Below are 25667 nucleotides of genomic sequence, written 5' to 3' on the forward strand. Positions count from 1 at the left end.
AGAAATAACGTTCACAATAGGCTGTTTCTCTCCTGGGGGTTCACACAGATGGTCCCTGCTCGGGGATGGCTCACTGCCCTTGCTCGCCACCCAGGTGGCTGTGCCCTTTCGTACCTGAGCCGCCTGACCCTGTTGTCTTCACTCAAGCTCACTGTCATAGTGTAATAAGTGGCCATTCAGTGAACACTGGGCCCTCCGTCCTCACGGCCTGGGGAACGGTCTGCACCCCTCCTGGGTCCTCTGTCCTCACAGCCTGAGGAACAGTCCGCACCCCTCCTGGGCCCTCCATCCTCACGGCCTGGGGAACAGTCTGCACCCCTCCTGGGCCCTCCGTCCTCACGGCCTGGGGAATGGTCCACACACCTCCTGGGCCCTCCGTCCTCACGGCCTGGGGAATGGTCCGCACTCCTCCTGGGTCCTCTGTCCTCATGGCCTGGGGAATGGTCTGCACTCCTCCTGGGCCCTCCATCCTCATGGCCTGGGGAATGGTCTGCACTCCTCCTGGGCCCTCCGTCCTCACGGCCTGGGGAACGATCTGCACCCCTCCTGGGTCCTCTGTCATCACGGCCTGGGGAATAGTCCGCGCTCCTCCTGGGTCCCCCCACCTCAGGCCACAGCTTCCCTCATCCAGCCCAGTCTTCCTGGTTGAAGTCAGTGCTCTGGGCCCCTGGGCAGCATCTCCACCCTGGGGTGGCCTCAGCGGGTCCCGCATTGGGGTCGTGTTGTCCTTGCTGCTGCTTCTCAACTTGCTGGGTGGTGGTAGCTGAGGTCCCAGATTGGCTCATCCAGTCCGGACGGCACATCCAGCTCTGTGCCAGGCGCTCAGGGGCTGCATGGCGGGGTGGGACCCAGCCACCCTCAGAACCCACAGCCCCCGAGAGGCTGCATCTCACCGTCTCAGGGGTCTTTTAGACAGGTTTTCCCTTGATCGCCGCCCTGCATGGAATTTTACTAGCAGAGACAGGTTGCATCTTTCTGTAGGCCGTGGTCTCTCAGACGGTCACACACCACCATAACATCTAAGATCTCTTCAGGTCCCAAGTACCCGTTTTCACCCCTGGGGCTGATGTGGCCCCTCTGAGAAAGTGAATGGGAGCGAACTCGTTTGCAGCAGTGAGCAGACTCCGAGCAGAGTGGACAGTGCTGTGTCCAGGAGGGGGTGTGATTTTACACATAGTCTAAATAAAGGAAAGGTGGGTGGGGTCAAAAGAGGTAGAGAATGATTCCCGAAAAGGTAGGCATTTCTTGGGACCTTAAATCCTCTCTAGGGTTTGAGTAAGGTGAGAAGAGGCCACAAGGAGACCCAGGTAACAGCTGCCATGACGGGCTTGGACGCTGGTGGCGGCTTCTGGGCTCCGTGGCTCCCACGGCTCCTGGCTTTATGGCTGGGGTGCATTTGTGTGTCTAGACTTTGGGCCTGGGTTCATCCCCAGGCCCCGTCAGGGTCAGCTTGAGTGCCGCTTCCTCCCCACAAACCTCTCCATGTTTCTCCAGTGTGGAATTGCTTCCCCCAGCCTGGAGCTCACGCCCCATTTTATCTCTGCCTCTCTTCCTAGAATTATAGTATATTCCTTATATTATACTTACTTTTGCTTGTGGTTTATTCCTTGCTATATAGGCTGTAAACCCTCTACAAATAACATCTACCTCTGCATGTATTGTCTTTTTTCCACTGTTTATTGATTGAAAGGGAAAGGGATCCTTGAGGCCACCTCTACTCTAGCTGCTCCTGTCCATGGGGAAATGGGAGCCCAGGAAAGCTTGGAGATGGCTCCCAGTAGGAGCTGCCTCTGACGTTACCAGTGAGATGCCCACCGAGAAGCATCACACATCTACACGCCCGGCATTCTGCTTTTAAGTTAGTTGTGGGTTCATTCTTTTATAAAACTCGAATCACAAGATACAGTTAGAAGCAGGGCTGCCTCAATCCACTGGCCTTCCATGGTTAGTAGGAGTGGTTGGGTCAAAGGGATGTTTTACTATTTTAGCCAGAGAAACGTGCTGTACTTTGAATTTTATATTCCCATTTTGTGATACTTATGCTAAAATCATGAGCATAATGAATGAGCACATTATGTTTGCACTGCACTATTGATTAGACATTAACATTTTGCTAGCACCAGGAAGGAACTATAATTCATGCACTTAGGGCTTTCAAAAGAAATTTGGAGTCAGATTATGGATAGAAAGATGTATCCGTGAAATACATTTAACTGTAGCTCCAATGTGAATTTTAAGCTGCTGCCTTCTTGCTGGGTTGGCGGGGGGTGTGGATTTTAGATTTATATGGTGGCGAGAGTGGTGTTGGTTCAGAATAGGAAAAGGCCTCTCTGTTGTAGGTGATTAAGCACTAGGATATCCCATGCATGGCCCTGTAGGATTCTCATTGTGGAGATCTTTAAAAACCAGAGGGAGAATCATATATTTGTTTAATAATAGATTATTATGCTCCCTGGAGTCAGAGCTATTCTAGATTTTTCCTTGAAGTCTATTTTAGTCCAATGATTCTGGGGTTTTTAAGGAGACTGTTTTCGTCTGTGTCTTCTTAGATGTTATGGATCCAGTGCTGAGACTCTTATGTAAGTTCAAAGAGAGGCAGGCAGCGATGGTCTCTGTGTTTGGGGTCCACACATATCCCGGCCCTCCTGCCTGTGTGGCGGTGGTGGAAACCGCTACTGCACCAGATACGTACTTCTGTTTCGAGGAGATCTTGGGTGACCGATTCTCCGGCCTTGTTGCTGTTTCCGTGTGTTATCAGGTGACGAGATGCAGGGCTGACATGCTATGGTTTGCTCTGTGTTCTCTAATTCACAATTTGTGCTTATTCGAAGAAATGAACACTGGCTAAGCTGCCTGTACTTTACCAGAAAAGTTCTAGCATAAGAAAAAAGTTCATTATGTTCTCTCTTTTCCCCCAAGATATTTGAAACTTTTAAATAATCTTTTCATTTTGATCCAGCTTAAGTCTTCCAGCAAGGGCACTGGTTGTCCTATACAAGTTAATATCACTTCTTTTTCATTTTATTTCTTTTTTTTGGACAGAGTCTCACTTTGTCACCCAGGCTCGAGTGCAGTGGTGCAATCATGGCTCACTGCAGCCTCGGCCTCCTGGGCTTAAGTGATCCTCCCACCTCAACCACTGAGTAGCTGGGACTGCAGGTGTGCACCACCACACCTGGCTAATTTTTTTTGTTTGTTTTTTTGTAGAGACGAGGTCTCCCTATGTTGTCCAGGCTGGTCTTGGATTCCCAGGCTCAAGTGATTGGCCTGCCTTGCCCTCCCAAATTGTTGGGATTATAGGCGTGAGCTACTGCTCCTGGCCTCTGCCTTTTTCTAAAAGCTCTAGACACTTACCTGACTGATTCGTAATGGGAATGATTTGCCCCCTAGGCAAACTATTATTGTTTGGGTAGAGTTTTTCTTTTCTCATTTATAATGCCCAGAATAATGAAGGGTTTTCATGAAGCTCTGTCAGTGGTGATTAGGATAAGGACTACTTCTTCCTGTTCCCAACTCCATGACCATATATCCTTCCTAAATTATTTCATTTCTTCTGGATGGTTTCTTAGTCTAGGGAAGCCCTTCTGATCGCCAGCACAGTTGCTCAGTGTGCTCAGGGAGTTTCTTTGGGGCTGGGGCTTTCTTCCTATGGTGCTTCCTCATCTTTGGGGCCACTACGTTTTTATGTCCCGCTAGACTCTTCACTTATCTAAAGATCTTCCCTGAAAATAAAGCCCACACCCAAACTCAGATGGCTCCCAGCTCGCAATCGGGTTGCATTTCACAATGCCCTTGTGTCAGTTGTTTTGAACTCCCAGACCACCTGTAGTTTCTAATGTTATAAAAGTATCCGTCCTATAATTTTTTTTTCTTTTTTGGGACACGGTCTCTTTCTGTCACCCAGGCTGGAGGGCAGTGGCACGATCTGGGCTCACTCCGCCTCCCAGGCTGAAGCAATCATCCCTTCTCAGCCTCCTGAGTAGCTGGGACTACTCCTGAGCCCAAGCAGTCCGCCGGCCTTGGCCTCGGCCTCCCAAAGCGCAGGGATTACATGCGTGAGCCACCGCACGCAGCCTGCGCTGTGATTTTTAAACGGTAGTTTCTAATGTCCCGTACACGTCTTGTTTGGATGTGGTCCAGGCTGGGAACATAGCCAGCACCTACAAGCATATTTCTAGGGGAAACCACATTCTGAATTTCAACTTGGTCTGTGAGTTCCTGCTGGGTTTCCCATCTAGCCCTTCCGTTTTGAGGAAGAAAAAGATAGAATGATGCATTTTGCCAATTCCTTTTACAGAGAGTTTTTGCCAAGATTGTTTGGAAACCACATGGAAAATTGGGTGTCAGTTATCAGCTTAAGACTCAAAGAAGATGCCAGGCAGCAATTTACCTGTGTAGAATTGCAGCTGACTTGACTAATCGGATTGACTTGGTTGCAAGTGACAGATACTCAGCTCATTCTGGTTGACAAAAGTAGAGACTTTACAGGATCATGTAATTGGAAGCAGGATCTGAGGCCTCACAGTTGTCATGGCGCTGGGTCTCAAGGTGTTACAGCTCTTCTCTCTGGAGGGCGGCCCAGGCAGCCAGGATTCACTGCCCGTCACTCTGCAGCAGCCGTGCCGCCAGTCGTTTCTGGATCTGTGAGTGGCGTGCGCGTCTCTGGACTGGTCACCGCGGCCAGGGGATCCAATGCGCACCTGGAGAATTGGCAAATCCTGGGAAGTATGGAGAGGTAGGGCTCCCCAAAGGGAGACTGAGGCAAGGTAGCACAAGAGGGACAGGTGCTCTGCAGAGAGAGTCGATAGGTGCCCTGGAAGCAGGTGCCCCCCGAACAGGTGTACCCGGAACAGGCTTCCTTGCTCGGCTGCTCCTGGGGTCCCTGCTGACCCCTTCGGGGCCAGCGCTCCATTTCCTTTCTCGTGGGAACTTTTCAGTGCATTTCAGAGAAGTCGTGATGGATTAAACACCATTTGCTTCGCGTAACCATTGTTGAGTGACACAGCAGACTCTCCTACTCAATTACAATTTGAAATATGATGTCGCTCTTCTTATTAAAGAGGTTATATAAGTTAGAGAACAGTATATAAAAGAAGAAGCATTAAATTATCACCGATACAAATGACTGGGACCCCTAAGAGCAAGGCTGGAAGGAAAGATGAGATCCTTGATAACCGCACTGTGTGGCTGGGGTCGTGGACAGTGTGGTTTTCCCCTGGAACTGGGCATCTAATAACACAAGCACGTGCTTTCACCCTGAATCTCCTACCTGGGACAGAAAACCTCAAATAATTCTTGACTGAAAGACTTTCAGCCACTGCTGCAGAGGTCAGATTCTGCCACGCACTTCTGTATTTAGGGTTTTAACTTGCTCTGTGTGGATTTTTCCCAGTGGGCTGGTGGCACGACATTTCATCTTCTCATCCTAAACTCCGAGTTCTTCTCTGGTGTGATGCAAAGGTACTCGTTCTCATTCATAAGTTCTCTCTCCTCTTTTTCTTCTCATTCATACGTTCTCTCTCCTCTTTTTCTTCTCATTCATACGTTCTCTCTCCTCTTTTTCTTCTCATTCATACGTTCTCTCTCCTCTTTTTCTTCTCATTCATACGTTCTCTCTCCTCTTTTTCTTCTCATTCATACGTTCTCTCTCCTCTTTTTCTTCTCATTCATACGTTCTCTCTCCTCTTTTTCTTCTCATTCATACGTTCTCTCTCCTCTTTTTCTTCTCATTCATACGTTCTCTCTCCTCTTTTTCTTCTCATTCATACGTTCTCTCTCCTCTTTTTCTTCTCATTCATACGTTCTCTCTCCTCTTTTTCTTCTCATTCATATGTTCTCTCTCCTCTTTTTCTTCTCATTCATATGTTCTCTCTCCTCTTTTTCTTCTCATTCATATGTTCTCTCTCCTCTTTTTCTTCATTTTATTCTTGATAGAAACCCAAGGAATGAGGTTGTAGATGCAACACTTATGTGTCCCTGTGTGTTTTTCCATAACTAAAAGGCAATTTCTTAGCTACTTAGCTGTCTCTTTTTACTGCTACCCATTTTCCCTTTGAACTTAAAGCTACTTTCAAAATGACGGGGGTGCTGGTGCACAGGAATAAGGAAGGGAGGATGGGGAGGAGTAAATCACAGCAGCCGGAGGAACATAAAGGGGAGAAGGTTGGCGGGGAGCTAAGAACCGGGTCTTGTGATAAGATGTGGTAGCAGTGAGGCCACTTTCTAAGCAAGTCATGCTACTAAGCAATTGCTACGTGCAGGTCCAAGGCAGAAGATCTATGGTGAAGTCCCGGCTTTGCTTCTGGTTGATTTGGATAATTTTACGCTCATCTGTGTCAGCCTTACCTGTCATATGGCGGATGTGACACCTGCCTCACAGGGTCGTCGGCACGTGGGTCTTCGGCTTTCTGTGTCATGGTGTGACACGAGGCCTCTGATTTCAGCATCACACAGGTTTGGCACATTTGACCTCTGCCTCAGTGATACGTGTTGACGATGACTTACATGTGCATGTAGCGGTGTTTGGTGCAGCTCCATCTCCAGGGGGCCTGTGCACCACGCCAGGAGAGTGATGGTGCATTTCACTTAGAAAGATGCCTGAAGTTCGTGGTGTGGGGCCCTTATTTCCTTTGATGATCAGAGTCTGTTCCTGGGTCTGCTGAGATCCAGGAAGGTCACATTCAGTCCTAGGAGAGGGAGTAGCCCCTGGAAGGACATTCCACCCCAAAAGGGCGTTCTGGGAACAGGGAGGACCAGCAGTGGGATTCCTTCCTCATCTGAATGGAACCACAGAAACTGAAGGGTGGGGTTGGTGCCTCTAGTGAGGCTGGAATGTGGGGATGTGTTTGGGCACCCAGGGCGGAGCCTGTGTGAGGAGGGCGGCCGCTGTCCGAGCTCCTGCCCACCCAGGGTGGACGGTAGTGCTGAGGGGCAGTGCTGCTTTGTGGCACAGGAGTGTGGGCCATCTCAGGGCAGCCTGCCAGCCAACCCACCTCACGCTTGTGGGAGGCACCCACCCTAGGTTTTTAAGCAGTGTGCTAACACTTTCTCTTTGAGAGAAATACTTGTGAAATACTTGTTTAGCCAGTAATAACCCTTATATGTGACCCTTAGGTACTTAGTACCTTTCACATTGGATGATAATTGCTGTTGCTGCCTTTTTTTTTTTTTTTTTCTGAGATGGAGTTTCGCTCTGTCCCCCAGGCTGAAGTGCAGTAGTATGATCTTGGCTCACTGCAGCCTCCACCTCCTGAGTTCAAGAGATTCTGTTGCCTCAGCCTCCCAAGTAGCTGAGATTACAGGTGTGCACCACCACGCCTGGCTAATTTTTTTATTTTTAGTAGACAGGATTTCACCATGTTGGCCAGGCTGGTTTCGAATTCCTGGCCTCAAGTGATCTGCCTGCCTTGGCCTCCCAAAGTGCTGGAATTATAGATGTGAGCCACTGCGCCCGGCCAATGATTACTTCTTCATATTTTATTTATACTCTCTGTATTAGCACGTGGGCACACTTCGATGATTTACTGTTGTTTAATGTCCAAATTAGTTCATAAACAATTATTTTCATTTAGGGTTCTTTCTCACTATTTGAAACTTTGCCCAGTAATCTTTTGACTTTTACCTACACCATTTATTTTGGTCTGAGTTTTGACTGCTAAGAAAATACGTCATCAGTAACGTGCTTAGGGTAAGTACTCTGTCTCTGGCAGGTTTTTTTTTTTTTGTGGCTAATTTCATGCAGCCTGATATCTTAGGCACTTTCAGCTTCCCATTTACACAGCATGAGTCTGTCTAGTTTGAAGTGGTTACTTGATGGTGTGGCATTGGGAAAAGCCATAAAATTACAGATGAAATGGCTTCTTTTTGCACAATTAGAATCTGTCTACCAATACGAGTCAACCTGACTGAAATTGGTGAAGAACGGATGTGTTGTTTTCATGTGAGCTCACCTCCTTTGAGATGAGTGTTTGGCTGAAGATTCCCCCTCCCCTGGCCTTGGAGAGAGAGCGTGACCAGAGGAAAGGGAAGTGCTGCCATTCTCCCGGTGTCCTAAGGTGATGAGTTTTCTCTGTTTCTTTGTCCCTCACTGTTCATTCTCTAGGATTTGTCATGGGAAGTACCAGTCTGTCGTCCGTCTGGCTCTGACTCGCCCAGAAGCATGGTGTGCTCTGGTGCTAATTTCTCTTTGGTTGGCGATGTCTTGGAGAAAGCCTGGACTGCGGTCAAGGCCCTCAGCTCTGGGACTAACTCTGCACCTGACAATCTGCTCTAACTCCTCCTCTCAGCAGGGCTCAGCCCATCAGCACGACTGGGGGTGTGAGCTTGCTCTGTGTCCATCCCTTTCTAACTACTGTTCATGACTTGTAGGTCTTCAAGTGCCATCTCCTCCTCACCCTCCTCTCTCTGGAACATGTGGACTTTCCACAGTGAATCTCATGCTGTTTACTCTCCCCACTTCTAATCTTTGCAGCTTTCCTCCGTCTTTTAATTCCTCCAATTTTACTGATTCTTGCAATACTTGACAATTTAATATTGCTCAAAATACATTTTGTACTGAAATGCTGCTTCATATTGTTTTAGTCATTAATTAAAATATTAAGGAAAATATAGGGTAGTTTATCTGGTACACACCATTACACATTTTATGCTTGTGGCAATACAGTGATTTTAAAACAATAGCAGATATGAAGTTGTAAGTGCCTAATATGCTGATAATTGGATTTCACACAAAGCTGTTTGCCACCTATTGTTTTCGAAGTACATTCTATAAATGAAACTTCATTACACAGTAAATTATTTTTCTGTAATCCTTATTTATGAGACATGCTGTGCTGCAATTTTTTTAACCATTGTTTACTAAATTCTGTTGCCATTTTTAACATAATAATCAACTATAAAAAGGTGTAATTGAGTTTTCTTGTCCAATTTGTTTATCAGTGGGTTTTTAAACTGAGAACAGAGGAGGAAGAAAAATAGCTGGCGGTGATTTATGAATCAGTTCCTTCATCTTATCCTGTGGCTGTTTTCCCACTATGCCAACACATGCCAGAGCTCAATTTCTGTCTGACACACTTCTAGTTCAGTAATGCAGTTATGTTCCTTAGGGACATGTGTTTACACGGAATTGCAAACTTGATTAGGAGATCCTTTGTCAATGTTGACATCTAGAGGTGGCTGTGGTTGGATGTTCGGGTATAATGCCTGTTGGAAAAGGAAGAGCGTACGGCGGGGTGAACTTGAGGCTGTGAGCTTGGATGGCCACCGTGTAGAAGGCATCGCTGTCATCTCCCGGACTTTCCTCTTCACTTTCTTGGTCGTGACCCTGATTTCTGTTTGTTTGTGCACGGTGCCTCCCCGACCTGCCTGGTGCAGCCTGGGTGTGCTGGTGAAGCTCACTCCATTATCCCGCCTGTGGGCGCGAGCAAGTAACCTGATTCAAGTCTGTGAAACCGGAGAAGGGGCTTCTGGGAAAGAGGTTTCCTCCCTTCTTGGAGACAGCTTCTAGGAGTGTGGATTGCTCCCCTTCCTGGGAATGAGCAGGAACTATCTGGGGGCCCTGCCAGGGCTCCTGCCGTGGTGAGAGGCCACCAGCTTTCGGATGAAGCTCCCATCAACCTTGGAATGAGCAGGAACTATCTGGGGGCCCAGCCAGGGCTCCTGCCGTGGTGAGAGGCCACCAGCTTTCGGATGAAGCTCCCATCAACCTTGGAATGAGCAGGAACTATCTGGGGGCTCAGCCAGGGCTCCTGCCGTGGTGAGAGGCCACCAGCTTTCGGATGAAGCTCCCATCATCCTTGGAATGAGCAGGAACTATCTGGGGGCCCTGCCAGGGCTCCTGCCATGGTGAGAGGCCACCAGCTTTCGGATGAAGCTCCCATCAACCTTGGAATGAGCAGGAACTATCTGGGGGGCCCTGCCAGGGCTCCTGCCGTGGTGAGAGGCCACCAGCTTTCGGATGAAGCTCCCATCATCCTTGGAATGAGCAGGAACTATCTGGGGGCCCTGCCAGGGCTCCTGCCGTGGTGAGAGGCCACCAGCTTTCAGATGAAGCTCCCATCAAAGGATATAAGGGGAAGAAAATAAACCACGGCTTCGCTGAGCCATGGGACCAAACTGACTCTGAGGCTCTGCACTTTGCCTTCCTGGGAGCCAGTAAGTTGCCTTTACTGTTAGGCAAGCGTGAATTGGCTTTTCCTTGACTCTCCGTCAAACACGACATGATTGGCACTGGCCGGAATTCTGGAAGGACATGGGGTGGTGAGGCTTCCGGACTTCTGCCAAAGCCTGTACTGGTCGAGGTTCTCCAGAGAAACGGGATCAGTAGGATGTGTGTGCTCCTCCATCTCTGCAAGAGGGAGGGAAGGAGAGAGAGATTTAATGCGAGGAAGTGGCTTGCACAATTGCAGGGGCTGGTGAGTCTGAAATCTGCAGGGTGGGCCAGCAGGCAGGAGACCCAGGGAGGAGTTGGTACTGCAGCGAGGGTTCGAAGGCCGTCTGGAGGTGAAGGCCCCATGACCTTCTGCGTGACCTTGTCCCTATGGCAGTGGGCACGGTTGTCCTGGGGTGTGTCCTGACTGCCCATGGGGGATGGTGAGGGAAATGGAGTTAGCGATGGTGTCTGCGGGAAGTCCCTGCCTCCCAGCCTCTTGTGTACGGCTTCTCCCTTCTGCCGGCCCCGCCAGACTCTCAGCATTGACTCAGGAGTTCTTCCCAAGAGGAATGTAAAATTGAAGAAAGGGTGGCTGCGTTGAGCGTGGGAGAAATCAGGTGTGGCATTTTGTGGCAAAGACAGTGTCATTAGAGAAGGTAGTTTTGAGAATGATTTCTTTTGCTGATAATGAGATGCCTGTGACATTTCAATTAAATCTGTAATTATAGAGTAATATATTATAAACTAATCAAATAGATGAAATTATTAGCTACAGATCCTTGCATTTGGTGTGCTGAGATTTAATCAAAGCTTTGATAAGGACGGGGATAACAGATTAGCAATCATACGGCATACAGGAGCTAAGTGTTTAAATGGGGTTGAGAAATGAGATCAAAATTACAACATTCAGCTTTGGAGCATGGGAGCAGCTGAATTCCAGGCACAATAGTGGTTATCCTAATGCACCCATAGTAAAATTCCTATTTAAGTATTTAGGTATTGATTAGATTAATAGTGCTTTTGAATACATTTATGAGTTTAAAACCTTTGGTAGAGAATCTCTGGTTCTCAAATGAGGAGTGGTTGATGGCTGTGTGTCGTGTAAGTGACAAAACGTGATAATAGAACACATGTAATTTTTCATAATACCCCGGTATGCTTTGCTATAGCTGCTTCTTAGCTATAATAGAAGACTTTCTAAATTATATGTTATTTTCAATCAGTAATATCTTTCAACCAACAAAATGCAACATAAAATTGCTATATTTTCTTACCTTATTATATGGTCAAGACAAAAAACCTATTGTGATCTACAGTTTCTGTTATCTCGTGGATATCCTAGTGGTTTATATTTCCTTTTCAAAACGAAAAAAAAACCAAAATGCTGAGACATTTTGGGATTGTTAGTTACAGTATTTATGGATATAAATTAGGTGGGTGATATTTGATAAAGTGTTTATATTCATATAAACACTTGTATTTTGTATTACAGAAAATATTATGTTGTGATTTAGAAGGTAGATTCTATAATGTCATCTTGTTTCTTTTTATTAGAAAAAGATGCCTCATGTGAAATAGAAACATGAACTCTGCTCTTCCAGGCACCCTTGAGGTGTGCGTGTCTTAGATTTCTTCAAACCTATTCTTTTATTTTCAAAACTGAGGAATAAACAGGAAGGTAAACTGATATGGAAATTATACAGTGTGTTTTAAAGGAGGTGAGGGCCTAGACACTCGCTGATGCTGCTGGCTGAACCCTCCTCCAGGGGCCTGCTCTGCTGAACTTTTTGTCTCTAGCACAAAAGTGGGGGCACTTCCCTCTTTCCCCAGCTCTGCATTCCGAGTAGAACCAAAGAATCTGGGGTTCTTTCTCCCTCCACTGACTGAGGCTGCACATTTCTCCAGCAGATAAACAGTGAGATGCCTGTTATCCTATGCAACAGCTACCTGCCTCTCAATGTTCTTCTGCCGAATGTTCTGGGGCCCCAGAAGCAGGACTCCTGTCTGCACTCAGCGTGTAGTGATGAGGATGAATAGATGATAAAAAGTACAGGACATCTAAAGGGAATCATCCCCTTAAAGGAGAAAACATACTGAATTTTAATTTTAATGGTGACCTCCTATTAAAATAAGCTTAAAGGAGGGACTGGAAAAGAACTCAGAAAAAGATCTAATGTGTCTTTGAAGGAAGGTTTCAGATTTCTTCTGTAAAATAAGAGCAGGATGCCATAAAAAAGGAAGAATTTTAGAATCACAATTTAGTTTATTTTCCCATCAAAATCAATAGAGGCAGTGAAAAGTAGAATAGACATTATAACACCTCAGTTTTGGTAACTGAGTTAAGCGACTGGCCCCAGGTTGTGTAGTGCATAAGATCAAATGGACACACTTGGCTCCAGATGCCATGTTTGCAACACTAGTTTAGCTCTTAGAACATTTCTATTCATGTTCTGAGGATTTTACCTGAGTAATTCATTGAATCCTTACAAATAGCATATGAAGTAAGTCTTATTATTTTCATGTGCCCATTAGGAAACAGGCATGGAGACTTTATGTAACTATGTCCTGAGGATGTATTACTAGTAAGGGCTGGATCCTGGATTCAGACCCTGATTCGGATCCCATAAACCAATATGCTATGTGGAACACCTGTAAAACAAGAATAGGTAGTTTTGTAAAATGACCAATTAGAAATACTATGAACGTTGGGAGGCTGAGGCAGGTGGATCACGAGGTCAGGAGATTGAGACCACCCTGGCTAACATGGTGAAACCCCGTCTCTACTAAAAATACAAAAAAAAAAAATTAGCTGGGCGTGGTGGCAGGTGCCTATAGTCCCAGCTACTCGGGAGGCTGAGGCGGGAGGATGGTGTGAACCTAGGAGGTGGAGCTGCAGTGAGCTGAGATCATGTTACACCACTCCAGCCTGGCAACAGAGCAAGACTCCGTCTCAAAAAAAAAAAAAAAAAAAAAAAGAAATACTATCAACATTATAGCCCTTGAAATGAAAACTTGGTAGATATTTATAGATCAGATATATCTGAAGAAAACATTAATGAAATAGAAGATTAAGCTAAAGAAATTTCCTAGTGTTAAGCATAAAAAGAACATGAGAAAGCACAGTTAACGGAGCGGATATATCTGAAAAGCAAAAAAGTAGATCATTAGAAGCTAAAGAAGGAGGTAATAGAAAGGGGGGTGTCGCAGTGCATGTGTGCTGCTACAACCAAATGCTTGAGACTGGTTTCTTTATAAACAGCAGGAGTTTATTTCTCACAGTTCTGGAGGCCACGAGTCCAAAGTCAAAGTACAGGAGGCTTGGGGTCTGGTGAGGGCTGCTGTCTGCTTGCAGGGTAGTGCCCTGTGTCTGTGTCCTCTGAAGGGAGGAGCACTGTGTCCTCACTTGGCGGAGGAGCAGAACACCCTGTTCCCTCAAGCCTTTTTAGGAGGGCCTTAGCCCATCTGTGGAGGCTTTGCCCTCATGACTTAAGTTTCAGCATGTGAATTTTGGAGACCTTTTCAGACCATCACAGTGGTCAGTCAGTATTTGAGATTAAAATGGCAGATAATTTCCCCAAATTGAGGGAAAATCCTTTCAGATGGATACGTTGTATCACCTGCTAAGCGGAAATAAAGATAAATTCAATATTCTGATGTATCTCTGTAAAATTTCACTGTGTCCAGGATAACAGCAAAATCCTAAACAACTTGGTAAAGAAAATATAAATTGGTTATAGATTGGTAAATAATGCCTTAACAATAATACTAGAAGAAGATATTTATTGAATGTCTTGAATTCTATCCCTAATGTGCCTATCGTTTGATATTGAGGGCAAATAAAGACATTTTCAGACTTGGCAAGTTAACAGAGGCCATACTGAAAGGAGGACAAGAGGATACAAAAGAAGAATACTTTGGAGCATGTGTTCTCATTCATCTCATTTTATCTCATTTCTTAGATGTAGTAATTGTTTTATAAATTTGGGAGCTTCAGTGTTAGTTACATATATATTTAGAATTGTGATATTTTCCTGTTGGACTAGTCCTTTTTTCAGTGTATAATGCCCATCTTTGTCTTTTTAAAATGCTGTTGCTGTAGAGTTTGTTTTATCTGATATAAGAGTAGTTACTCCTGCTTGCTTTTGATGTCCATTTGCATGGAGTATTTCTTCCACCCCTTTATTTTAAGTTTATGTGAGTCCTTATATGTTAGGTTAGTCTCTTGAAGACAGCAGAAACTTGGTTGGTGAATTCTTATTCATTCTACCATTCTGTATCTTTTAAGTGGAACATTTAGTACATTTACATTCAATGTTAGTATTGAGATGTGAGATACTATTCCATTCATCATGCTATTTGTTTCCTGAATACCTTGGGTTTTTTTTTTTTTCATTGCATTGTTGTTATATGTAATAGGTCCTGTGAGATTTATGCTTTAAGGAATTCTACTTTGGTGTATCTCAAGGATTTGTTTCAAGATTTAGAGCTCCTTGTAGCAGTTCTTATAGTGCTGGCTTGGTAGTGGGGAATTCTCTCAGCATTTGTTTATCTGGAAAAGAGTGTATCTTTCCTTCATTTACGAAGCTTAGTATCACTGGATGCAAAATTCTTGGCTGGTAATTGTTTTGTTTAAGGAGGCTAAAAATAGTACCCCAGTGCCTTCTAGCTTTTAGGGTTCCTGCTGAGAAATCTGTTAATCTGATAGGTTTTCCTTTATAGGTTAGCTGATGCTTTTGCCTCCAGCTCTTAAAATTGTTTCCTTTGTCTTGACTTTGGATAACCTGATGACTATGTGTCTAAGGTGATGATCTTTTTGTGATGAATTTCCTGGGTGTTCTTTGAGATTCTTGTATTTGGGTGTCTAGATCTCTAGTAAAAACAGGAAGTTTTCTTTGATTGTTCCCTCAAATATGTTTTCCAAATGGTTAGATTTCTCTTCTTCTCTGGAAACAATTATTCTTAGGTTTGGACATTTAACACAGTCCCAAACTTCTTAGAGGCTTTGTTCATATTGAGTGGATCACAAGGTCAGGAGATCGAGACTATCCTGACTAACACGGTGAAACCCTGTCTCTACTAAAAATACAACAAAATTAGCCTGGCGCGGTGGTGGGCGCCTGTAGTCCCAGCTCCTCAGGAGGCTGAGGCCGGAGAAAGGTGTGAACCTGGGAGGCGGGGCTTTCAGTGAGCCAAGATCGCGCCGCTGCACTCCAGCCTGGGCGACACAGCGAGACTCCGTCTCAAAAAAAAAAAAAAAAAAAGAAAGTTATCTTTTCTTTGTCTTTGATGGGCTGGGTTAATTTGAAAGCCTTGTCTTAAGCTCTCAAGTTCTTTCTTCAGTTTGTTCTATTCTATTGCTGAGACTTTCCAGTGCATTTTGCATTTCTCTAAGTTTGAACTTGATTTCCAGAAGTCATCATTGTTTTTTATTTATGCTATCTATTTCACTGAAGAAGGTTTCTTTCATATACTGTATTATGTTTCTTCATTTCCTTAAGTTGGACTTCACCTTTCTCTGCTGCGTCCTTGATTAGCTTAATAATTGACCTGCATTATTTTTCTGGCAATTCAGAGATTTCTTCTTGGTTTGGATCCATTGCTGGTGAGGTAATATGATCTTTTGGGGGTGGTAAATAACCTTGTTTTATCCTGTTACCAGAATTGTTTTTCTGGTTCCTTCTCATTTGGGTAGACTACATCAGAGGGAAGATCTGGGATTCAAGCGCTGCTGTTCAGACTCTTTTCTCCCACGGGGTGCTACCTTGATGTGGTGTTCTCCCCCTTCCCTTAGGTATGTGGCTTCCTGAGAACCAAACTGTAGTGATTGTTTTTGCTCTTCTGGGTCCAGCCACCCGGTGGAGCTACTAGGCTCTGAGCTGGTGCTGGGGGTGTCTGCAGAGTCCTGTGATGTGATTTTTGTCTTAAAGTCTTGCAGATGTGGATACCAGCACCTGCTCCGGCGGAGGGGGCAGGGGAATGAAATGGACTCTGTGAGGGTCCTTGGTTGTGTTTTTGTTTAGTGTGATGGTTGGCCTCCAGCCAGGAGGTGGTGCTTTCAAGAGTGCATCAGCTGTGGTCCCATAGGGAGGAAGCAAACTTGCCCTAGGGTGTACCTGGTTAAATATTCAGGTTTCTCGGGCAGTGGGCAGGGCCATAGAGCTCCCAAGATATTATGACCTCTGTTTCAGGTACCAGGGTGGGTAGAGAAAGACCACCAGGTGAGGGGCAGGGACAGGCATGTCTGAGCTCAGACTCTCCTTGGGTGGGGCTGGCTGCAGCTGCTGTGGGGGATGGACATGTGGTTTCCAGGCCAATGAAGTTATATTCCCAGGGGGATTATGGCTGCCTCTGCTGAGTCACACAGGTCGCTAGGGAAGTGGGGGAAAGCTGTCAGTGACAGACCTCACCCCACTCCCACGCAGCCCGCTGTCCTAAAGGTTGGTCTAACTCCCACCGTGCCCCACCAACAGTACCGAGTCTATTTCCAGGCAGCCAGTAACCCCCTGAGAATTTTCCCTGGAACTTTCCCTGAACCACGAACCTCCCCATTGAGAAAGCACAGACTCACGGTTTTTCTGCATTTCAGGGAGCCTGCAGCACTGATCTAGTTCCTTCCAAGGGTCTGTGGATTCTCTTGGCTTTCCTAGTATGTTCCTGCCGTAGTTCTTGGGGCAAAAGTTAATGACGTGAGTCTCTACATGCTGCTCTGTACATCCGAGTGGGAGCTGCAAGTTAGTCCTGCCTCCTATCTGTCATCTTAATCCTCTCTGCTGTTTAAAAGAACATGTGCAAACTGTGCTGAGAATAGGAAACTTGTGGCAAGATTTATAAAGAAAATAAAGAGAAAATTCAAGAGTATACAGTTAGTGAAAAATGTTATAGAATCATAAAGTTAGAAGAAATAGAAGATGATCTGTAGAAATTTTTGCTGAGAAATTTGAAAATCAAGATAAATGATTTGTTTTCTTGGTGACTATAAATGATATAAATTGATTCAACAAAACTTAGAAAAATTTAATGGAGCAGTAACCATGGAACAACTAAAAATTTTCATAGATGTCTTTTTACAAGAGGAACTGGCTCAGATATTTTATAGGTAAACTCTTTAAAACCTTTTAGGAAATGATCATTTTATGTTATCTCAGACTAATAAGCATCAGTCTCATTTAATGACTGAATCCAGAATTTGATAAGTATCACAGAAAAGGGCTGACCTTATTTAAGAATATATAAATTTGCTACCCAAAATGTTAGCCAGTTGAATCTAGTTCGATGTTAAGTATGAGCGTAAGCTTTGCCTCATAAGTGCAATGTTATTTTAATAATAGTATCCCTATGTAGTAATGCATAAGATAAGGATATTTAAAAAACCCCTCATGACTATATCAATAGATATCGTAGGACCTTTAAGCAACATAGCAGCCATCTGTGATAGAAATTCTAAGTGAAAGAGAAATGGCAGGAAACTTCCGTGAAACAGGTCAAGATATGATCAGAAACTCAACAGGTGCAGGAGTAAGTGGGAAAATGCTAAAGTATGGAGCAAAGCGGCAATGCCACAGTCATTACTATTATTCCATTTCTTCTGAAGTCTCTACTATCTTGGGAAAATATATGAGAAAAGATATTGGGAATCAAGAGACTTATTTTCATTGGAAAATGATAAAGACTATACAAAATCCATAAGATAATTAGTAACGTTGGGCATGGAGAACAAATATGAGATCAATGAATGAACATTATTAACTGTACTGTGCATGACAGAGTAGTGGAAAAGTAGGCGCATCCTCAGAAAGAATAAGCCTCACAAAATATATTGGAATGAAACAGGAATGTGTAAGATTTATAGGAAAAACAATGAAACACCTGGGAGGTACGTAAAACATCATCAAGTACTTGGTGTGGAGTGGTGCTTGCGTGGCTGACTCGGCATGGAAATGTGGCACTTCATGGAAGTGGTGACTGTGGATTATATCATTTCCATGCGAACCCTTTCCTGTTTGGATTGGTCATGAAAGTGGGAATAGGGGAGTGGATTACGTGGTAATGAAGTTAACCTATAAGAACAAATTCACAAGATTGTTCAATAAGATGTGTTAGAGAAAAAAATGAACCATGAGAGTTCTTGTCTACTAAGAGAAACACACTAGTGCTGTAGGAGATAAATCAATCTGTAGAACAAACTGTTTTATGTGGGTAACATTTTCAAGTTAGTCAGGAAAATATGGATTCTTCAGTAAATTTGTTGGGATAACTGGTTATCCATTGGAGAAAAAATTCATTTCCATCTCACAACACAACAAAGTTTTAAACATGTTAAATATGTAATCATTAAAGATAGTTACTGAAAGTCTAACAGAAAATTTAGTACAATATGTTTTTTAAATTGTGGAATTGGGAAGATCTTTTAAATCACAGAAACAGTGAAGGAAGGAACTGATAGATTTGGACACATGCATATGAAACCCTTCTAAACTGTTGAAAGATATCATTAATGGGGCTAATAGGCAAATGACAAACTGAAAAAACATTTGCAATGTGTAGAATAGATAAGCATCCGGCATATGTAAAGAGTTCCTCGAAAGCAATGAAAAATTTATCCCCCAAAAGAAAAAAACTAAGAAACAGTTTACACAGAAATTTGTTTGCTCAATAATCACATTAAAAGGTCCCCAGACTCTAGGAAAACAGTGAGAAACTATTTTTTTCCACCAGAGGCAAAAGCAAGAAGATTGTTGATATGTGGCAATGTAAATGGAAACCAATGTTTTAGTAGCATTTTGGGCTCATGTGCATATCCTTTGACTCAGTAATTCTGTCTAGAAACCTATCTGCATAAACTCACATAATGAGAAGCATTAAAAAATGTATGCAGAATTCTTAGGAAATGGGAAAATTGGAGATAACCTAAATACTCAAGAGTAAGGGATTTGTGGGGCTAAAATAATTGTGATTGTTTCAGGCCAGGAAGATGTAGTTCTGTCTGTACCGATATGGAGAAATGTTAATATATTAATAGGAAGTGGATAAGTCTTGAAGAGCAGAATGTGAATTCTAGAACGGTGGAGAGTTGAACAGTAAGTGCCTGGAAATGAATAGGCAATTTAGACTGACAGTCACATAAAATGTACGTTAACTGCTTACAGGAAACCAACGGTTGATTTTCAGTTTGTTTATTATTTTATAATGAATATTTCCCAAATGTGCTTGCTACAATAAAAGTCAGCTAATTTTCTTACCTTATTAGAATTTTACATTTGAAAGTATTTACATGGCGTTAACTAACTAATCATCAAACAGATGTTTGGTCAGAGATTCTGGTGACAACAAAGTTTCAGCAGATAGCAGGCAATGTTCAGCAGCCCTGACCTTCAGGAAAGTCAATATAACATGATCATAGTTTTTAAGGCTATATAAAGTGTATGTAGGAGAGTGTTTTGCGATCACCAGCTCAGTGAGAAGAAAAGACTGGCATATCTTTCCAGTGTAACTTTATCAACCTAATAAGTCTCCTTAAAAAAACACAAGTGTTCGTACTTCCTCCGATTCATTTCTGGCGGGGAATAATAATTTCATGCATTAGTATGCCATGGAAAAAATGAGCTGGGAATTTTGTAATTTATCAAAAATACATATATTAGCACCTTCTTTTTAAAAACATGCTACACTGAATTTCATCTGGGTACATAGCATTTTTGTCTCCTGGAAAGAAAATGATCAATTATTAATATTCTCTGGTACTGGTTGTTTGTTTCTTGGAATCTGTTTGGTTCTTTGCAGAACTGGACTAATTTCACAGATAGCTATTTTTCATCAAATTATATAAGGAATCATCATAATTGCTGATTTAAAGTATGGTTTTATTATTTCTCTTTGGTTCAATATTTCAAAATGGTTAAATGTACATTATTATCATTTCAAATCCTGCTTTAGAATGGAAATAGTAGTTTCCATGTTCATACATCCTGGATCCACGCACACAGCGTGCCATTCCACGGTCTGGTCTACAAACAGTTGGTGGTGATTTTTATATACAGTTTCTGTGCCTACTTCTTCTTGCCATATTGCTCTTTTCAGCTGATTAATTATTGCTTAGTCTCACTTTTTAATGTACATTCCATTTTTTTCCCCATAGGGGAGGTTATTTACCCTTTTTATCACATTTTCCCCATCTCTATCCATTCCTCACCTAGGCTTTCTCGCCATCCGAGGCTTGGCCCTAGCCCTGCGCGGCTTCCCTCGCGGCTGCTAACCCTCTGCCTGCGCCCAGCCCAGCCACAATGGGGACTGCTCAGGTACAGTGTGATCTTGCTCTTGCTTCCTGTGTGTGTCCGTCTTGCGGTCCTTACCCAGCATTTGCTTACTTCCTGCTGTGATGGGTGCTCCACCCGGGGAGGGGCACAGGGGTGACGGGGGCCTGGCCAGGCTCAGGCTACCTGGAAGGAAACAGGCAGCCGGGTATGGTAAGGCCGGGGGTGAGTGTTCCTGGGGCAGAAGCAGGAGAGGCTGCGGACACTGTCCACAGCTTCAGCTGGATGTTTCTCTGTTCAAACAGAGCTGTGTTTAAAAACTTCTCATGCGCACAGTGTTTCTGCTGTTATCATTGGCAGTGGTGAGAGAATGTTGAGAAATTCGGGAGGCCTGACAGAGAGTAGGAGCAGGGCCACGTCACTGCGTGTGCTCCGAATGAATCTGTGCATTCACCAAGTGTACGTGTGACTGCAAACTGTCCCCAAATACTGCCAGAATGGAGCTTTTCAAATAGCAGTCTGAACTGTTTTCCAGTGGCTTTCAAAGAGCTTTCCTGTGGAAGCTGGTGGTGTGTGGGGAAGCAGGAGTGCATGTCCACAGGCCTGGGCGTGGTGAGATGGGACACAGCCTTCGGACAACAGCATCCTGGGGCTGTGGACGCCACAGTGACCACTGCTGGGTGCTTCAGGGACTGTCCAGAGGGCCATGCCCACCTCCTGCAGTCCCCAGACCCACAAAGAGCAGATTGGAGAGGAGGGTTTTGTCAGTTTACCTGCCCCAGTGCCAGTGGGTGAAGCAAACAGTCACGGAGACGGCATTTCACGAGATTTGTCAAAGGGAAGAGAGGATTATTTCTTATTTCTTATTCCAGAGGTGCTTTGCACTGATGGAAAGGTCTAAATTTCAGGGGGGGCCATGTTGCTGCCACTGCCTGTCATCTCCTTCTGTTTCTTTCCTTCTTTTACGTCTCACTTGGTGGCAGCTTCACACGTTCTGGCTCAGAGTTCCGATACTTTCTCTACCCACTTGGTGGCCTCAGAAGATGGTGTTGACTTCAGGCTGCCAGACCAAGTTGCCACCTCAGGAACAGGCAGCTCTTGTTCTGGCATTTCGGGAGCTCTGTGTACAGCTTCTGAGGAGTTGTAAGGCGAGCTTGAATTCATTATTATTATTATTATTATTATTATTATTGATATCTGCTTTCCCCCTGATCAGAAAAGACAGTTCACAGTACGCTTGTCAACTCTCCATTGAAACTCCCTGTAACTAGCAAGGGGCAATTGCTTATTTGTACTGTGAATTAGTTAGGGTGCTTAATTGCAAAGAAAAGACTCACTCTGGTGTGTTTAAGCAGAAGATAACTTGTTAAAAAAGAAATCAGGCATCCCAGAGACCCTTGACTTCCGTCAGCTCCAGCAGCACGGGGCTCAGCAGGAGACCCCCAAGAGCTCTGCACAGACCCCTTCCTGGGACACGCACCCCAGCAGGGATGTGTGGGTGTCAGGATATAGCTGTGGCGCCTGCCTCCAGCTGCCAGAGATGTTGATCGAAATGTTTTTGTTGTTGATGTTTGTCGTCGTTTTGTCTTGCACTTTGGGAAGTGGTCATTCGCAGCACGGGGAGCTGTCAGAAGTGCAGGGAGGCCATTCGGGAGCCCGGGGCAGCCAGGACGGGGGAGGTCAAGAGTCTGCGGCCTGGGTCCATCCACCCGGGCTGTCCTCTCGTTCTCTTGTTGTGCGATGACAGTGGCAGCGCCCGTGACACACAGCTATCCCTTATACGATGGAACCCCACTTAGCTTTATCCCAAAGGGGAAGTTGCAATCACATTTGTCACGTCCCCTAACTCCGAAAGGATCCTGGGACAACATTTCTTCTTCTTTTTTTTCTTCTTCTTTTTTTTCTTCTTCTTCCTCCTCTTCCTTTTTCCTTCTTCTTTCTTTCTTCTTCTTTTCTCCCTCTGTCACTCAGGCTGGAATGCAGTGGTACCATCATGGCTCACTGCAGCCTCAACCTCCTGGGCTCAGGTGATCCTCCCATCTCAGCCTCCTGAGTAGCTGGGCCTATAAGTACTTGCCACCATGCCTGGCTAATTTTTGTATTTTTTTGTAGAGATGGGGTTTTGCCATGTTGCCCAGGCTGGTCTTGCACTCCTGGGCTCAAGCAATGTCTTTGTCTCGGCGTCCCACAGTGCTGGGATTGCAGGTGTGAGCCCACCATGCCCGGGCACATTCCTTCTTCTTTCTCTGGTTCAGCACAGCCCCTCTTGATTTAGATGCTGCCAGGGTTCCCTGCAGGAAATGAGGGAGCGCGTTGGCTTACTTTTCCTATATAAATATCTGCATGACACAGCAGTGTTACGGGCAGCTTTTATGGTTTGAGGACCCAGTATTCGTGACTCCTGTCCCCACCCCCACCTGTGTTCCCCTTGTCCTGGCCCCAGTCCTGGCTCCGGGAGCTTCCCCTCTGGTGAAGATGACTGCTGACCTCCTGGTGGTTCCGCCTGTTTGGGTTCACTGGGGTCACTGCCATCCTCTGCAAGCTTTGTCTGGTAAGTGTGGTAGTGCTAGCGATTCAGAGGACCCAGGATCCAGACATGCTGCCCTCATCAGCAGCAAAAGAAGCTCTCCTGCACCCCAGGGATGTGGTCACACCCACTTCCTTTCTGCCCACTGGTTTGGTGGCACAGGCAGCTCAGCCTCCAGCCGCAATTCACTGGAGCACCCCGCATTGTCCCCTGGCATCTCACTCCCTGAGGGGCCATGGAAGCCACAGGGCATCAGGGGATAGGAGACAGAGATTTTGAGAGGGGCCGCCCCACCTCCGTGGCGGTCTTTGGAGCGATGTCTTCTGGCTGCAGGACAAGCAGCACCCTGTGTTGACTCCAGGTGCGAGTAAGATACGCACCACATCCTGCAGGAGCCGGCTTGAGAAATCCCCCAGAACTCACTGCAGACCCTGCCAGAGGAGGGCTCTTCCTCTGCCCTCACTGTCCCCAAAATGACCCCACAGAACCATCTGCAGGGTCTCTGCTACCGTACGGCTGTCAGGATACATACATGCCCTGGACGCCTGAGAACCAAGTACCTGTGGTTCAGCCACACAGCTGTTGGATCAGGTTGTGCTGTTAGATTCTACCTTGGGAGGGTGGAGCTTTCTGTGGGAAACTGTACACCTTTAGGATGAACAGGCACACAGTTAGGATTTGGGATCAGAGAGTTCTCTGTTGTGGGCTTTCCTGGGTGTGGAGGCTGTTCCACAGAAGCTGGCCTCTGCCCGGAGGCAGCCGCACTTCCTTCCAGCGGTGAGTGCCAGGCAGTCTTCAGCACCACCAAGTCCTGTGGGCAAAGCATTCCCCACCCACTGAGAAACTTTGTTAGCATGAAGTTCATCTTGTTCCCTTATTATCTCTAACGACATCATCCCTCTCATTCCAGATGTTGCTAATTTGGGTCTTCTCGCTGTTCTTCCTCTTCAGTCTGAAGTTTATCCATTTTATTGATTTTATCAATGAACCAGATTTTGGTCTCATTGATTTTCTTTTTTAAAAATTTTTAATTATTGTGGGTTCATATTAGGTGTATTTATTTATGGGCTACTTGGGATATTTTGATACAGGCATGCACTTCAAAATAATCACATCAGGATGAAAAAGGTATCTGTCACCTCAAGCACTTATCTTTACTTTGTGTTATACACAATCAATTATACTCTTTTAGTTATTTTAGAACATACAAGAAGTTGTTGACTGTAGTCACCCTGATGTGGCATCAAATACTAGATTGTATTCATTCTATCTGACTATATTTTTATACGCATTAACCAGCCTTTCTTACCCTCCACTACCCTGGGAACCGTACTTCTTCTCTATTTGCATGAGTTCAGGGTTGTAATTTTTGCTCCCACAAATAATTGAGAACATGCTGTGTTTATCTTTCTGTGCCCAGCTTATTTCACATAACACAATCAACTCCAGTTCCATCAATATTGTTGCAAATGACAGGATCTCATTCTTTTTTATGGCTGCATAGTTCTCCACTGTGTATGTGCACCACATTTTCTTTATCCATTTGTCTGTGGACGGACACTTAGGTGGATTCCAGATCTTGGCTGTTGTAAACAGAGCTGCAGTCAACATGGGCATGCAGATACCTCTTTGATGTCCTGATTTCCTTCCTTTTGGCTTGGTTTTATTGATTTTCATTGTTGTGTTTATGTTCCCTGCTTCACTCATGTCTGTCTTGGTCTTTATTATTTCCTTCCTTTCATTCACTTTGGTTTTAATTTGCTCTTCTTTTTCAGGTTTTTTGAAGGTCAAAGCTGAGGTCAGCGATGTGAGACTTTTTCCCCACAGGCATTTAGTGTTACAGAATTTCCCTGTGAATTTTCACCTTTTTGGGTGCTGGGTATTTTGTGTTTCTGTGACATTCTTGGGAAGTAGTTGTTTTGCTGAGCAGAATTAGCTGGGAGCCCTGCCTTCTGCCTGTGGCTGCAGCCTGGTGTCTCGAGGGTCCCGCGCCCCCTCTCGCAGCCTTCTCTGCCCGTCTGTGCTTCACTCGGTCATGCTGACTTGTCTCTTCTGCTGCTCGAGGGACCTCAGTGCTGTGTTTCTTTGGTGGCCTACGTGTTCCTGTGTCCCAGCTACGTTTGGGATTTCTTCTTAGACCTTTGTCATTTATGTGGATTTGAGGAAGGAGAGAGAAGCTTAGGGGTGTGCTCATTTTCCAGCCTCGCACCAGTCTTTCTCGTGAATGTTTTTGTAGAAACATCCAGTCTTTCCATTCTCTCTCACTAGAGGAGGTGTTTCAGAACTACAGAAGGGCTTACCCCATATCCATGGAGATGTTTGCTGTTTCCCCTTATGGCAGTGGTTCTCAAATGGGGGCAGTTTTGTCCCCGGGGACATTTGGCAATATGGGGAGACATTTTTGGTCACACAGTTGGAGGGCGTTTACTTCCAGCATCTGATGGGTCATGGTGGGGGATGCCACAGAGCAGCCTACAGTGCCTGGACAGCGCCACAGCCAAGAATCATCCAGACCAAAATGCTGAAAAAGGCTTCATTTGTATTACCTAACCTATAAAACTTAGGTATCTCCTGGAGTGTGAATAAGAAGGAGAAGGAGATAATATAACCTTGATATAGAACTGTTTGTCTTCAATGTGAGGATTTTTCATGGGTGTTCTTAGGGCATTGAATGGTAGCAGACTTGCATGCAAATTCATTTAAATGGATTATTTTTAAAATACACATTTGGACTTTCAGG

At 44.9% G+C, this 25667-nt stretch overlaps 1 protein-coding gene across 2 annotated transcripts in view; it reads left to right on the forward strand.

Moving 5' to 3' along the window:
- The window catches only part of DLGAP2 (DLG associated protein 2), a 970849-nt gene that overhangs the window by 64121 nt on the left and 881061 nt on the right, over window positions 1-25667 (forward strand). Inside the window, exon 2 of one of the 2 annotated variants that reach the window (NR_073397.2) lies at window positions 20344-20445. The exons of the other annotated variant lie outside the window; for it this stretch is intronic. The gene's annotated coding sequence lies outside the window, so the exon portion shown is untranslated. The remainder of the gene's footprint in view (window positions 1-20343; window positions 20446-25667) is intronic. 2 annotated transcript variants of the gene reach the window in all.

Source organism: Homo sapiens, chromosome 8, assembly GCF_000001405.40.
Source record: "Homo sapiens chromosome 8, GRCh38.p14 Primary Assembly".
Taxonomy (NCBI): domain Eukaryota; kingdom Metazoa; phylum Chordata; class Mammalia; order Primates; family Hominidae; genus Homo; species Homo sapiens.